The 16,013-nt window shown below is 44.2% G+C and overlaps 1 protein-coding gene across 4 annotated transcripts in view; it reads right to left on the bottom strand.

Annotated features, from left to right (window-relative positions):
• Positions 1 to 16,013, bottom strand: part of LAMP3 (lysosomal associated membrane protein 3) — a 41,599-nt gene that overhangs the window by 18,219 nt on the left and 7,367 nt on the right. For all 4 annotated transcript variants that reach the window (NM_014398.4, XM_005247360.6, XM_047447967.1 and 1 more), the window contains 3 exons: positions 13,249 to 13,958; positions 11,942 to 12,070; positions 105 to 162 (listed from right to left, as the gene is read on the bottom strand). In NM_014398.4, the coding sequence (NP_055213.2) occupies positions 105 to 162; positions 11,942 to 12,070; positions 13,249 to 13,958 (897 nt within the window). The remainder of the gene's footprint in view (positions 1 to 104; positions 163 to 11,941; positions 12,071 to 13,248; positions 13,959 to 16,013) is intronic.

Genomic DNA, 16,013 nt, shown 5'->3' on the forward strand with positions numbered 1-16,013 from the left:
AAAAAAGCAGCATCAAACATGAGAAGATTCAATGGGATGAAAGGTGAGCTAACCAACAGAAACAGCGTCATGGCTGGTCGAATGGGCATTCTGTAATTACTAACCTGGATCTGAGACGGTCAAATAGGCTCCCACTTCACTGATATAATATGATTCTTCATCCTGTAAAACAGTAGGGTGTTAACCTTTGGGTTATCTCTACTCATATGTTTACAATCTTGGTTTATAAACTTTGTTTAAGATTCCAGCTATTAAATCTGGATATAAGGGCTGGGGAGTTACTTGGTACTGGGTCATAATTGTGTATGAAAATTCCAAAAAAGTAAACATACCACAAATAAATAAATAATAACTAACAGTTTTCCCCTGGCCCCAAATTTCCCTACTGCATACTAGTTGCTAGGGCCTGGTATTCAAATTCCACCAGTACAATTTGAGTCCCTTCGGTTGGGCCAAATTTCTCCCTGTTAAAATGCAAGTCCATTGGGAAGATGGAGGAGCAGGAGCATATATTAAGTGTTTACTAGCAATTAATATCTAAGGGTAGGAATTCTTATCCTGAGACCACTCATCCTTTCCTTTTATTTTTAAGACCTTCCATCTGGCTTAGAAGGCTCATCCTTAAGGATACCATGGGAGGACCTCCCGGGGTCCATAAACCCTCTGGGAAAAACAATGTATACAAAATGGTGTGTACATGTTCTTATGTAGGGTGTGAATGGCTTTACACAGATTAATGGGTCTATGTCTTCAAAATGGCTAAATGGGGCCAGTGGGAGGGATTATGGGAAGACATGCCTTACCCTGAGATCCCTGGGTATTCTCTAGAAGAGAACCCCAAGTGGTTGTATTTAAAACCTAAAGCAGCACCCCCACATTTCATCTAGGAATTATCTTTCCAGAAAAACAAAAACAAACTACAAAACAGCCCTATAAAAACAAAGGGTCTGAAACCTTCTAGGGAACTGAATTGGGGTGTAGAAGGGTAAGTTGAAAAGGGAGTTTCTATTTTTTAATTGAGGTGATCCACAGTGTTCTCAGTTTTAAACATTCCTTAGAAAACCATTTACAAGTTAAGAGATGCAAAAATGGCAGAGCAACCCAAATCAAAACCTGAAATTGAATTACTTTTAGAGGTTTCAAATATAGTCATTAGAGAAACTTAACAATACTAATCTTGACCACATTATAGCTCATTTGTGTATTAGTGGATAAAATGTTGATTCATTATACAATCAAAGGGTTCCATAAATAGAAACTGTTTTAGTAAGGTCATTGATACTGATACACTGAGCTCTAGATCCTACAATTCATTGAATAGCACCTACCACACAATAGCTTCTTACCCCGTGTTAGGCACTGTCGCAGGCACTTCCAAGCACTTGCCTTATTTAATCCTCACAATAATCATGAGAGAAAATGAGGCTGGGTGACTTGCTCCAGGTCACAGCCCTAAGAGGTGGCAGGGGAAGATATGACCTCCAGCTCTGCCTGCCTCAAGTCTAGCCTTTAACGTCTCTTTCATACCCACTCCATGCCAGGGATTGTTCTTGGTCCTGGGAGAGGACCTGGTTGCCTCCGTCAAGGTGCTCAGTCTCTTGGTTCTTGAAGGCAAGTTGAACAATGCCTTTAGACAATCCATTTGCTTTAGGGAGAAACATCTCTTTTAAAAAGAGACCATCTTTGTGTTGCTTTAATATACCATTTATTTGGGGCATTTTTAAAATTTGGAGCCTCTTTTAATATAAGAGAGACTTATATTTCAGGGTCCACAGTCCGGGTTACAAGGCCCCCGCCCCATCCCTAAGGGCAAAGAGCGTCCATCGAAGGGTTTTAAGCAGGGCAGTGACATGAGCATAGCTTTGTTTTTGTAAATGGCTCGGGCTGCACTGTGAGATTGATTTGAGGAGCAGCAGAATAGTGATGAGGTCAGCAAAGACTCCTCAGAGGCCTCTTGGAATCTTCCCTTTGGTGTCTCCCTGACCTGTCCCTCCTAAAGGAAGAATGCTTGGCATTTCTGTGAGAGTTTCAGAATTCGCCACGTGCATGCTTTCACTGACATTGCCTCACTTGATCCTTACAACGACCCCGAGACAGAATCGATATTAACAGACCATTTTACAGCTGAGAACAAAGAGGCTCAGAAGAGTTAAGCATCTACCGCAGATGCATGTAGTTTGTAGGTGAGACAAAGCAAGATCCTGCCCTACATTTTCCTCCATGGGATGTGTGGGTATAGAACAAAAATTCATTATGTGAGAATTTACTTTCACATTCCCTGAAATGCAGCTGAAACCTATAACCATTGATGGGAAGCAGGACTGGCTACATAATGAATTTTTGGGGCTTAGTAAAAAATGAAAGTGCCGGGCCATGTGTTCAAAAATCAAGAATTTCATGGGGCAACAGCAAAGCATGAAAACAAGTCTGAGCCCTTCCGGATGCACAGGCAGAACACCTGTGAACCCGTCCCTGATGGGCAGGGCCACTGCTGTTCCACAAGAATCTGCGCTTTCTAGGGCTAATCAAAAAATGAGGCCTTCCGTAAGCAGGGTGCTCACATTCACTCTGAGTTCATCTTAAGGACACACAGGACAGAGTCTGGAAGCTGTACTCAGAATTCTTTCCATTTTGACTGAGTCAAAATTAGTGAAACATTGACTAGGACTAAGCTGATGTCTAGCTTTTTTTTTGAGTTGGGGTCTCCCTCTGTCGCCCAGGCTGGTGTGCAGTGGCAAGATCTTGGCTCACTGCAGCCTCAACCTGCTGGGCTCAAGTGATCCTCCTGCCTGAGCCTCCCAAGTAGCTGGGACTACAAGCACGTGGCACCACAGCCAGCTAATTTAAAAAAAATTTTTTTATAGAGATGGGATCTCACTATGGTGCCCAGGCTAGTCTTGAACTCCTGACCTCAAGAGATCTTCCCTACTTGACCTCTCAAGGTGTTGGGTTGACAAGGAATGAGGCTTGAGGTATAAGCTACTATGTCTAGCCATGATGTCTATCTTTAGAGTAAAGGAAAAGTATCTGTTAGGTGGATTCATGTAAACAAAAGGACAGGGGGATATTTAGTTTTCTTAAGATTACAAGCTTGACTTGACATGATCATACTTCAATTGTCCTACACATCTCTTCTGACTCACCCTTTCCATATGGTATTTAAGCCCTGGGTCTCAGGGTTAATGGCGTGGGGATATACCATCTTGTCTCATCACCATTCAAGACAGACATGGCTTCTGTTCATACATCCCTATTAAGTGTCTCTTTCCAAGAAAAAAAAAGATTCCAAGTTTTACACAATTTATGCTATGGAATGAGGCTTAGACAATTGTACCACTTTATTCTGTAGAATTGTAGTGTTACTGAATATTCTTAAAGGAAATAAAATCGTCTTTGGTAAACTTTTTTCCAGAAATATTTTAGGCTCTGTGGTCCTTTGTTAATCCGTCAAGGAACCTTAACATCCTCCTTAGCAAAACTGTGGGTCCACCAACATGTCTACCTTTCTGCAGACATACGGGGGTCTGGCACCAACCAGCCCAATTCATCCTGCCCAGGACGCCAGCATGCCAATAACCATGGGGTCCTAAGGTCCCCCTGTCCACTTCTGCAAAACACACCGTGGAAGTTTCATAGTCCCAGCTGTTCAGGATGTGGATTTTGTCTTCAGCATCAATCATGTCCTTTTCGCTCAGCATTGTTGTGACTAAATCAAGAAAGCTTTGTTCTGGACATAGCAAAAGGAACCTGTGATCTACTTTTTGGCACTTTGACCCAGAGTTCTCTGCAAAATTTAGATTTTCTCCTTCATTGATACATTTGTTTATCAAACATTGCTAAAGATATACTATATGCGAAGTCGGGGTGAGCACTAGAGAAGAGACGTGAAGGAGCCATAGACTTTGCCTTGGGGATGGCAAAATGTGTGACAAGTGCATTGATGAAGTTTGGGGAACAATGAATAGAGTTTCAGGGAACTAAGAGGAGGAAGTCTCTCATTTTACCTGAAGTGGAAGTGGGGAAGGGGGAATTTCACAGGGTGATGATATTTGAGTTATTTTAAGGATGGATGCTAAAGGAGCTGAGGGGTGGGAGGGGCCTTCTAGGCAGAGGGAAAAGTACCAGGGGAAAAAGAGCATGGAAAGTACAGATCACTTGGGGAGTTCTAAGTGTGCACTGTGAGGGTGTCAACACTTGAACACTGGTCACAGTCCTCAGAAGCCCAGCTCGTAGGCCAAGAGGGTTCCAAATGCCCCTCAAAGGCTCTGGAGACCAGTTTGAGCAACATAATGAAAACCTGTCTCTAGAAAAAAATACACAAATTAGCTGGGCATGGTGGCATGTACCTGTAGTCCCAGCTACTCAGGAGACTGAGAGGTGGAGGATCACTTGAGTCCAGGAGGCTGAGGCTGCAGTGAGCCTGATCGTGCTACCACACTTCAGCCTGGGTGACAGAGGGAGGCCCTTTCTCAAAAAACAAAAAAAGCTCTGGGGAAACAACAGGTGGGTCTGCAGCATTGATTCCAGGACCTCAGTCGGCCAGTGCACTGCCTGACCCTCGCACCTCTCCTCTCTTGATGGTTGATTTCACGAGCCAGGGCTGGAGACCTAGAGCTGCCCGGCCAAAGGGGTGGAGGAGAAAGGGATAGTCCTGTGCACAGAATGAAGTTACTGCAGAATGTTTTAAAAGCAACTATCCCACCAGGAAGGATGTTGTAGGGAGGTGTGGGGAGAGATGCATGTGATCTTGAACTGGAAGGGTCTGAACAACTTTCAGCATGTCACCCTAACCAAATGAGACACTGACAGGGAAAGGTTTTCAGTTCTTTAAAAAATGAAACTGCGGGAAAAAAAGAAAGGAAATCCACCTCTCCTGACCCCTCTAGGGGCCAAATACCACGCTGAACACTTTTACATTCTTTAGCTCAGCACACTCTCATGGCAGCCCAGCAAAATAAGCACTCGTTGGCTCCATCTTATAGAAGAGGAACTGAGGCTCAGAGATCATGAGCAGCCTGTCCATGGTCACAAAGCGAATGATATGGATAATTTGCCTTGATTGAACAACAAGGTTAAGTGACTGATTTTTCTTTATGTTGTTGTCATTGGTAGTATTTCAATTTAAAAAACTACAAATTGGGCTGGGCACAGTGGCTCACACCTGTAATCCCAGCACTTTGGGAGGCCGAGGTTGGGCGGATCAGCTGAGGTCAGGACTTCGAGATCAGCCTGGCCAACATGGCGAAACCCCGTCTCTACTAAAAAATACAAAAATGAGCAGGGTGTGGTGGTGCACACCTGTAATCCCAGCTACTCGAGAGGCTGAGGCAGGAGAATCACTTGAACCCAGGAGGCAGAGTTTGCAGTGAGCCGAAATCATGTCATTGCACTCCAGCCTGGGCGACAAGAGCAAAACCTGGTCTCAAAAACAAACAAACAAACAAAACCCTACAGATTGAAAGCGGGAACTATAGCCTATATTTCTGTTATTTTTCTTTCATAGCCAAGCTCATTGTTAGGGACAAAGTAGGTGCTCAGTAAATTCTTACTAATAAACGAGTTGATAAATCAGGCCTAATCAACATCCATTTATCATTCTACAACTTAGCTCTCATAACATCTATTATATTATAATGAATAAACTCACATTTTCTAAGGTTCTCTTTTTCTCTAGAGCTGTGGTTTTCAACTGCACATGATTTTTGCCTCCTAGGAGACATTTGACAATGTCTGGAGACATTTTGAGTTGTCAGACTGGGGTGGGCAGTTGCTCCTGACATCTTGGAGATAGAGGCCAGAAATGCTGCTGAGCATTTTTCAAGGCACAAGGTAGTCCCCACACAAAGACTTATCTGGCCTCAAATGTTAATACTGTTGCTGTTGAGAAGTGCTGGTTTAGAAAGCAGCAACATTTCAAAAGCGACTGACTGAATGGTTGAGTCCATTTCTCTTTTGGAAAAATCTAGAAGGCTTTCTTACCTAAATACACTTCATACAATACACCCATTAGGGCAGAAGTCACAGGGTCAGAATCCACAGGCCAAATCTGGCCTTCAGTTGTATGTTTTTTGGCCAGCATGGTGCTCAAATTTTTTTTTTTTTTTTTTTTTTGAGACAGAGTTTTGCTCTTGTTGCCCAGGCTGGAGTGCAATGGCACAATCTCGGCTCACTGCAACTTCCGTCTCCTGGGTTCAAGCGATTCTCCTGCCTCAGCCTCCCTAGTAGCTGGGATTACAGGAATGCGCCACCACGTCCAGCTAATTTTTGTATTTTTAGTAGAGACAGGGTCTTGCCATGTTGGCCAGGCTGGTCTTGAACTCTTGGCCTCAGGTGATCCACCCACCTCGGCCTCCCAAAGTGCTGGGATTACAGGTGTGAGCCACTGTGCCCGGCCCTCAAATTTTTAAAAATGTGTTGCCAACATTAAAAAAAGTGCTTTTCTGGAAAGATCTAGATTTCTGCCTTATCTGGAACAATCAGAAGATCTGGCAATACCACCCTCTCCTTACCACCTGATTGAGGGGACATGTAAAATATTGAGCAACTGTGCCTGTTATTCCAGCACTTTGGGAGGCCGAGGCAGGTGGATCACGAGGTCAGGAGATCGAGACCATCCTGGCTAACATGGTGAAACCCCATCTCTACTAAAAATACAAAAAATTAGCCGGGCGTGGTGGCATGCACCTGTAGTCCCAGCTACTCGGGGGACTGAGGCAAGAGAATCGCTTGAACCCAAGAGGCGGAGGTTGCAGTGAGCCAAGATCGTGTCACTGCACTCCAGCCTGGGCAACAGAGTGAGACCCCGTCTAAAAACAAAGAAAAAAAAAATATTGAACAACTGGCACAGAAGGGAAGTCACTGAGAATGGACATTGGACCATCCCAAATAAATGCCATAAAAGACACTGATAATCCCCGGGGCTAGACACCAGCCCTGCCATTTGCACCATCTGCAGAGCTAACTCCTAGGGAGATGAGCACTCTCCTGTCCCTCCCTTTTGTCTCCCAATTTCTGAGTCCTTCTCAGTTGCTTCATTACTTTGTGCTTACTTTAATATTTTTCTTATTAGATTGAATGGGAATTGAAATCTTTCTTGTCTTTAATTTTTGATGAAGACATATTTTGATCTTCATCAAAACTGGTAAAATAAAAATTTAGGACTGCTTGTTTCAATGAAAACAATTTTTTTTTTTTTACTAGCTTGCTTTGCTCATTAGGTTATATGCCTAGCACCTGTAATTCTTGAATTCAGGGTCCCTGTTTTGGCTTAAACAAGCTCTTATTGATTGATGTCTTTTAGAAACGGAGTCTCACTCTATCACCCAGGCTGGAGTGCAACGGCACAATCATAGCTCATTGCAGCCTTGACCTCTTAGGCTCAAGCAATCATCCCACCTCAGCTTGCATGTGGTAGCTGGGACCACAGGTACACGTCACCATGGCTAGCTAATTTTTAAATTTTTTGTAGAGATAGGGTCTTGCTATGTTGCCCAGGCTGATCTCAAACTCCCGGGTTCATGCAATCATTCCACCTTGGCTTCTGACAGTCCTGGGATTACAGGTGTGAGTCACCACTCCAGCCAAGTTCTTTTTTAAAATGCAGAAATTCAAAGGTGCCAAGAACATACATTGAGGAAAGGACAGTGTCTTCAATAAATGGTGCTAGGAAAACTGGGTATCTATATGCAGAACAATGAAACTAGACTCCTATCTCTTGCAATGTACAGCAATCACATCAAAATGGATTAAGGACTTAAATCTAAGGCATCAAACTTTGAAACCACTAAAAGAAATCACTGGGAAACTCTCCAGGACGTTGGTCTGGGCAAAGATTCCTTGAGTAATACGCCAAACCACAGGCAACCAAAACAAAACTGGACAAATGGGATTACATCAAGTTAAAATGCTTCTGCACAGCAAAGGAAACAATCAACAAAGTGAAGAGACAACCCACAGAATGAGAGAAAACGTTTGCAAACCATCCATCCGACAAGGGATTAACAACCAGAACATAGAAGAAGCTCAAACAACTCAACAGTAAAATATCTAATAATTTGATTTTAAAAATCTAATAATTTGATTAAAAAAATTAAATGCAAAAGATCTGAACAGACATTTCTCAAAAGAAGACATAAAATGGCATACAGGTCTATGAAAAGGTGCTCAACACCACTGATCATAAGAGAAATGCAAATCAAAACTACAATGAGATGTCATCTCACCCCAGTGAAAATGGCTCTTATCCAAAAGATAGGCAATAACAAATGCTGGTGAGGATGTGGAGAAAAGGGAACCCTCATACACTGCTGGTGAGAATGTAAATTAGTAGAACCAAGATGGAGAAAAGTTTGGATCCTCAAAAAACTAAAAACAGAGCCACCATATGATCTTGCAATCCAACTGCTAGATATATACCCCAAAGAAAGAAAATCAGTATATCGAAGCGATCTGCTCTCCCACATCCATTCTAGCACTGTTCACAACAGCTAAGGTTTGCAGGCAACCCAAGTGGCCATCAACATATGAATGGATAAAGAAAACATGGTACATGTACACAATAGAGTACTATTCAGCTGTAAAAAAGAATGAGATCCAGTCATCTGTAACAACCTGGATGCAACCGGAGGTCATCATGTGAAGTGAAATAAGCCAGGCACAGAAAGACAAACTTTGTACCTTCTCACTTATTTGTGGAAATTAAAAATTAAAATAACTGAACTCATGGAGATAGAGAGTAGAATGATGGTTACCAGAGGCTGGAAAGGGTAATGGGTGGGGTGGGGGAAAAGGGGATGGTTAATGGGTAAAAAAAATATAGACAGAATGGGCTGGGCACGGTGGCTCACGCCTGTAATCCCAGCACTTTGGGAGGCTCAGGGGGGCGGATCACGAGGTCAAGAGATCGAGACCATCCTGGCCAACGTGGTGAGACCCCGTCTCTACTAAAAATACAAAAATTAGCCAGGCGTGGTGGTGCGTGGCTGTAGTGTAGTCCCAGCTACTTGGGAGGCTGAGGCAGGGAAATCACTTGAACCTGAGAGGCGGAGGTTGCAGTGAGCCGAGATCGCACCACTGCACTCCAGCCTGGGTGACAGAGCGAGACTCCAACTCAAAAAAAAAAAAAAAAAAAAAAAAAAAAAAATATATATATATATATATATATATATATATATGTATACACACACACACACACACACAGAATGAATAAGATCTGATACTTGATAGCACAATAGAGTGACTGAAGTCAAAAATAATTTATTGTACATTTTAAAATAACTGAGAGTATATTTAGATTTTTTGTAACACAAAGGATAAATGCTTGAGGTGATGAATAACCCATTTACCCTGATGTGATTATTACACATTGCATGCCTATATCAAAATATCTCATGTACCCCATAAATATATACACCTACTATGTACCCACAAACATTTAAAAATAAAATAAAAAATCAAAATAAATTTAATAAAAAGTAAATGCGTAAGTTCCTGGGATAACTAAGGCCAGTGGGAATTTTTACCTTCTGTGAGCCTCTCTGCCTACCTCCCGGCGAAGGTCAGCTACTTTGGGAATTTGTGATGGGGAATGGAATGAATAAGGAACATGTGGCTGGTGAAACTCAAGCAAAGCAGCTATTGCAACACTCGGGGCCATGGGCTGAGAGTGGCTCACTTTGCCCCTTCCTGAAGCTGGGTGAATGGAGGGAGGGGAGGACGACCTGCTGATGCTTCTGGCTCTTTCTGGACACTCATTTCCTGCCCCTACCCTTGGAGGAAGAGGTAATTTGGGAGCTCAAAGGATTTTCAGAAAGGCAGGGACTCAACACTTGGGTGGAGTTTGGTCAGAATCCAGCCCGAAGGAATAGGAAAGGCAGGGTTGGAGCATCAGCAGACAGAAGAAAGTAACATAAAGAGAGGTTGAAAGTGTCAAAGAAATCTCTGTTTGCAGGTCTGCCTAAGGCCTGATGGCAGCTGCCCTTGTGTGCCACAAATGCTGGAGTTTATTGATGCCTTCCATTAGTCAATGAGTCACATGGGCAGTGGGCAGTGGGTCTGGGTCTGGGTGGAACTGAGCCCTGAACCAAAGCATAAATGTTTATGTCTGTATCTTCTGCTATTTTGCCAAAGTGACTTTTTTTTTTTTTTTTTTTTTTGGAGAGCAGTGGTGCAATCATTGAATCATTGCTCACTGCAGCCTCAACCTCCTGGACTCAAGCAATTCAAGCAATCTTCCCACCTTAGCCTCCTGAGTAGCTAGGGCTACAAGCATGTGCTACCATGCCCAGCTAATTTTATTTTGTTTTCTTTGGTAAAGACAGGGTCTTGCTATATATTTCCCAGGCTGGTCTCAAACTCCTGGCCTCGAGTGATTCTTGAGCCACTGTATCCAGCCCAGGGACTTTTAAAGAAATTCTTGTCATCTCTATAGTTTAACTTCAATTTTCCAGGGATAGAGCAGTTACTCTACCCTGAATGTCTTCCCATTTTGTGTGACGGTTGACATATGAAGGATTGTGTCTTTCCCACTTGGTCCCAAAAGGAAACCACTGACTTCTCAAGCGCAACTCTACCTTGTATGCTCCAGGAGAATAAAGTCTTTGTGATCAAGTTAATAATGACAATCATAACCGCCACTCTTCACTGAACATTGTTATCTACTGTGCTAGACAGTTTACATACCCCATTTCTAATCCTCCCAAGGGTCCTACTAAGTAGATGTAATTATTTCCATTTTACAGATTGGGAAACAAGCCCCAACTCCCCTGAGATCATGCAGCTAATCCCAGCTGCAAGGGGTCTCTCAGTGCCTCCTCCTCAGCTCTTACTGGGGCTATTTGAAGGACACTCTGAGGCAAGCGGGGGCAAGTCTCTCCCAGGGGAGTGGGATGACCAGCCCCCTCTGGTCTGCAAGACATTTGCCTGTTTCAATCACTGCAATTGCAGCTGCTGGCTCTTGAGCATCCGCCACTTCCCGTGTATGGGGCATGCTCTTTTTTTTTTTTTTTTTTTTGAGATGGAGTTTTGTTCCTGTTGCCCAGGCTGGAGTGCAATGGCGCAATCTCGGCTCACTGCAACCTCCACCTCCCCGGTTCAAGTGATTCTCCTGCCTCAGCCTCCCAAGTAGCTGGGATTACAGGCGCCCGCCACCATGCCCGGCTAATATTTTATATTTCAGTAGAGACGGGCTTTCACCATGTTGGCCAGGCTGGTCTCGAACTCCTGACCTCAGGTGATCTGCCCGCCTCAGCCTCCCAAAGTGCTGGGATTACAGGTGTGAGCCACCGCACCCAGCTGGGGCATGCTCTTTACAGAGGCAATCTCTAAGTCCTTTCCTCCATTTTTCAAATGCTAAAGACCAAACAGGTTAAGTTGCCTGCCCAGTGTCACAAGGAGAGAAAGCAACAGAGCCAAATCCGCAGTGAGACTCTCTGACCTCGATCTATGACTGCTCTGTCCACATCACTTCCCTGTCTGTCCCTTCCAGGGTATGGTCTGGGAAACCCAGAGCCTGCTCTGGCCCTGAATTTTGCCTGCTGTGGTTGGAAAGAACCTGTTCTGACATTTGATTTCGGTTTTAGAATAATCCTGTTCCTCCGAATAATCCTGTTCCTCTGGGGCCCACTGGGAATTTCTACAGGTTTATTCATCTGCACAACTTCCTCCTTTGGCTGGTTTGCAAAGGGCACGGGTGGTTACGTTCCCCAGAGGTCAAGTCTCCCATAAGAGGCCCTGAAGCCCTTTTTGGGCTGCACAGAAGGAGGCTGAAGGGGGAAGAAGACAAACATAAGATGTTGACACTTCCTCCTCTCCATCCCCAAACCCCTCATTCTTATCAGCAAAGATCTCAAACTGAAGTGTGGGGTTGCACCACCTGGCCCCAGGATGAGGGAGAGGGAAAGCTGTACCAGATGCAGTTTGTGCAAAGGAGCTCAGGCCTCACCTTGGTAAATGTGAGATTCACAAATCCGCCCTGAAAATTCAACAGAAGGTTGGATTTTCGGGTGCCACAGTTCCCAGAGGCTTGCGTTGCGTTGGGGTCGATGTTGAAGTATCTCCGAGGTGAAAAAACCTAAATCAAGTTAGATAGATCAGCTAAATGAGATGTAGAGGAAAACTCTAGCTAGGGAACCAGATGCACAGGCTAGTTTGTGAGCCTGAAACTTAAGGCTGAGGATTCGCTGGAGAACTGCAAAGTCCCCAGACAACACCTCTCGTTTTCAAACTGTTATGTTCAAAAGCTTTCTTAAAGAGGAGTTCTCCCACAGAGAGGAGTTCTTTTGTAAATAATTGATGGCAGGTATGTTCCTGATAAGCTGCATGGAATTTATGTTAAGTTAAACATGTTAAATGATACTAGAGGGAAGGGTTTGCTCTGTAAGGTACCTCTGTCTCAAATGGCAACCTAGATGTGGAAGTTTTATTTGAAATCATTAAAGTTTGCAGAAAGAGAAAATATTATTGGCCGGGCATGGTGGCTCATGCCTGTAATCCCAGCACTTTGGGAGGCCAAGGCGGGCAGATCATGAGGTCAGGAGTTCGAGACCAGCCTGGCCAACTTAGTGAAACCCCGTCTCTACTAAAAATACAAAAATTAGCCGGGTGTGATGGCAGGTGCCTGTAATCCCAGCTACTCAGGAGGCTGAGGCAGGAGAATCGCTTGAACCAGGGAGGTGGAGGTTGCAGTGAGCCAAGACTGTGCCACTACACTCCAGCCTGAGCAACAGAGCGAGACTCCGTCTCAAAAAAAAAAAAAAAAAAGAAAGAAAATATTGTTTTAGTGATTCCTTTAGTATATCAAATAATCGCAATCCCTCTCCCTCGGTTTTCTTGTTCATGTGGATTTCCACATTAATGTCAAAACTGCCCGGAACCATAGAGACCATCTGACTTAAATCTCTCATTTCACGGGAAAGGATATGAGGCTTTTAAGTCTTCTGGAGTGGGAGGGAGGGGCTGAGATCAACGCTGAACATTCTACGACACTCTGCCCATGTTGGCTAAAAGTGAGGTGTGTGAATATTTAAAGTTTTGTTTGCCTTCCTCTCTCCAAACAGTTGCTATTAGTTTCTATTTTCATGTATATCCTAAAACATAATCACCTTTTAATGGAGCACCTTGGAGAGAGATGAGCTCACAGCTATTGGTTTCATTTAAAGACACAGGATGTGGGGAATGCTCATTCCTAGCAAGGCAACCTCCACTCAGACTTTTTGAAGATAGTGTTATAGTCCTGTGGCCCCAACTTACCGACTCCTTGTCTTGAACAATCAGCTGTATCCCCATCTCTGCTTTTATACAGAGTCTGCTTCCGTTTAGAACCTGATAAATTCCAGTCTTGACTGACGATGGCTGAGGTGCAAGGGTGGGCCCAGGAACCGTGGAGGCAGGTGCAGCTGTGCGGGTGGTATTGTGGGCAGCTGCCGTTGTTCCTGGGGCATGGGTGGGTTGAACAGGCTTCTGACCGGTTGTGCTTTTGTGCAGTGCTATCGATAAAGTTGCTGGAAGGGTGGTCTGGTTACTGGGTTGAGTGGTGTTCCCAGTTGTGTGGCTGACGGTTGATGAACTGGTTCCAGTTGTATGAGCTGGTGGGGTGATGGTGGGTGGCAGTGAATAAGGGGCTAAGCTAGGGCCGACTGTAACTTCAGTAACTGGAGGAGCTGTGTGTGAGTTGTTGGGTGTGGCCTGGGTTGTGACCAGGGTGTAGGTAATTGGGCTGGTGGTTGCAGTGTTTTTTGTAGTCGCTGGGGTAGTTGTTGGAATTTTTACTGTGGCCGCTGTTTGAAAGGTGATATGACCATCCATGAATCTTGCTGCTAAAGTTTGGTGAGGTGCTTGCTTAGCTGGTTGCTGGACAGGTTTTTTTATGTCCTGTACTGTTGCTGCTGCAGTAGGTTGAGAATAATCTCTGGTTTCTGGAAATGCTTTTGCTCTCATTTGACTGCCATCGTGCAAAATTACTGAAAATTAGGAAATAAAAGTGTTAAAAACACTAACCGATTGCTTACAAGGTTCCCTCTCCCATCCCCATCTTAATGTCTGTTCATAAAAAAACCTAACATGCATATTTTTATACTTGGGGGAAATTTGCAAGGGTACAACAATGAAGCAAACATCACCAAAGATTCTACCCCCAGGACACAATTGTAATGTTCTGGTTGTATCCATGCCTTTTACAGGGTTATGACAGTTCCACAGCACCCAGCCCCTTTGCCTGTGTGAGGTGTGGTACTAATACACGCCAAAGTGATCATGCTCAGCTAGATATCTAAGTGTCAATGCCTCTTCATTCTCCACCTTCAAATGTGGATCCGGACAGCTGACATAAAATAGTGTTCCTGGGTGAACAGCTGCTGTATGACCTGATAGAGCTGGGGCAGCATGAATGATGGTAATAAAGATTTACAGAGTTACACAGTTTTCACAGAATCATATAATCCCAGGTTTGAAAGGGGTCTTAAAAGTCATCTAGTCCAAACTCCAATCTTTTTTTTCTTTTTTGAGACAGAGTCTTGCTCTGTTGCTCAGGCTGGAGTACAGTGGCACAATCTCGGCTCACTGCAACCTCTGCCTCCTGGGTTCAAGCGATTCTCCAGCCTCAGCCTCGTGAGTAGCTGGGATTAAAGGCACCTGCCACCACGCCCGGCTAATTTTTGTATTTTTAGTAGAGATGGGGTTTCACCATGTTGTCCAGGCTGGTCTCAAACTCATCTTGTGATCCGCCTGCCTCAGCCTTTCAAAGTGCTGGGATTATAGGCGTGAGCCACCGTGCCCCACCCCAAACCCTAATCTGATGTTTGAATTACACCTACAGATCTTTGCCATGCGTTCATCCAATCTAGACTTAACTGTTCCCAATGACAGGAGACTCATCTCTTCACAATACAGTCCTTTCCATTTTTTATCTTGTCACTTGTTGTTTTCTCAATACAGACCAATTCCTGTCATTTTCGTACTTAACTTTTGGAGTGGCCCAGTCTTTCTCAACCAAGAAAGAGAAGTCATAACTGCTCTGATATTTCAGGTGGGTTGTCCTTTGTGTTCTGGCTTTCATGGCAGCTCCTCAGAGCATCTTCCTTGTCCTCCTTATATAAAATAGTTCCCCATATCCATGATTCTCCACTGCAGTGTTAAATTCATTGCTTTCACTGCATTAATTACAACTTGTAAGTATATATGGGGATGGTATTCAAATATTTAACAATCAGCCTGGCCAGTATGTACCAGCCAAATATTTTCCCTGATTAAATGTTTGCTTATTGGTTTATTTGTTGGTTGTGGAACTTTCCTAGTAGATTAAGAGCACCGTGAAGGTGGAAACTGTGTGTACCATTTTTACCGTCAGTGCCTGCACATAGACAGTGTTCAGTAAATATGGGTCGAACGAAAAAATGACAGAATGTGTTAATGAGGACAACAGCATTGTAGGCCTTTTAGGATTATTGTAAGGCTCACATGAGTTGGTTTAAGTAAAACTCTTCATGGACCATTAAGCACACAGACGGTGTCTACTGTTGTCACAGGTTCTCTCCAGAGGCTGTCCTTAAGGGCAGAGGTCCTCCGTTCTTTTCCAACTAGAACAGGTCTATCCTTGCCTCCTTCCAGGCACATAGGGATCCAGAAAAGTGGACAAAACACAGATGTTGGGCCGGGCGCGGTGGCTCACGCCTGTAATCCCAACACTTTGGGAGGCCAACGTGGGCAGATCACCTGAGGTCAGGAGTTCAAGACCAGCCTGGCTAACATGGTGAAATCCCACCTCTACTAAAAATAGAAAAATTAGCTGGGCATGGTGACACAGTGCCTGTAATCCCAGCTACTTGGAAGGCTGAGGCAAGAGAATAGCTTGAACCCGGGAGGCTGAGGTTGCAGTGAGTTGAGATCATGCCATTGCACTCTAGCCTGGGCAATAAAAGCAAAACGCTGTCTCAAAAACAACAACAACAACAACAAACAGACGATGTCTTTAGGAGTCTGTGGTCAGGCACACTGAGAGATGCCTGCGTCCCTTCAAT

This window comes from Homo sapiens, chromosome 3 (genome assembly GCF_000001405.40).
Source record: "Homo sapiens chromosome 3, GRCh38.p14 Primary Assembly".
Taxonomy (NCBI): Eukaryota; Metazoa; Chordata; class Mammalia; order Primates; family Hominidae; genus Homo; species Homo sapiens.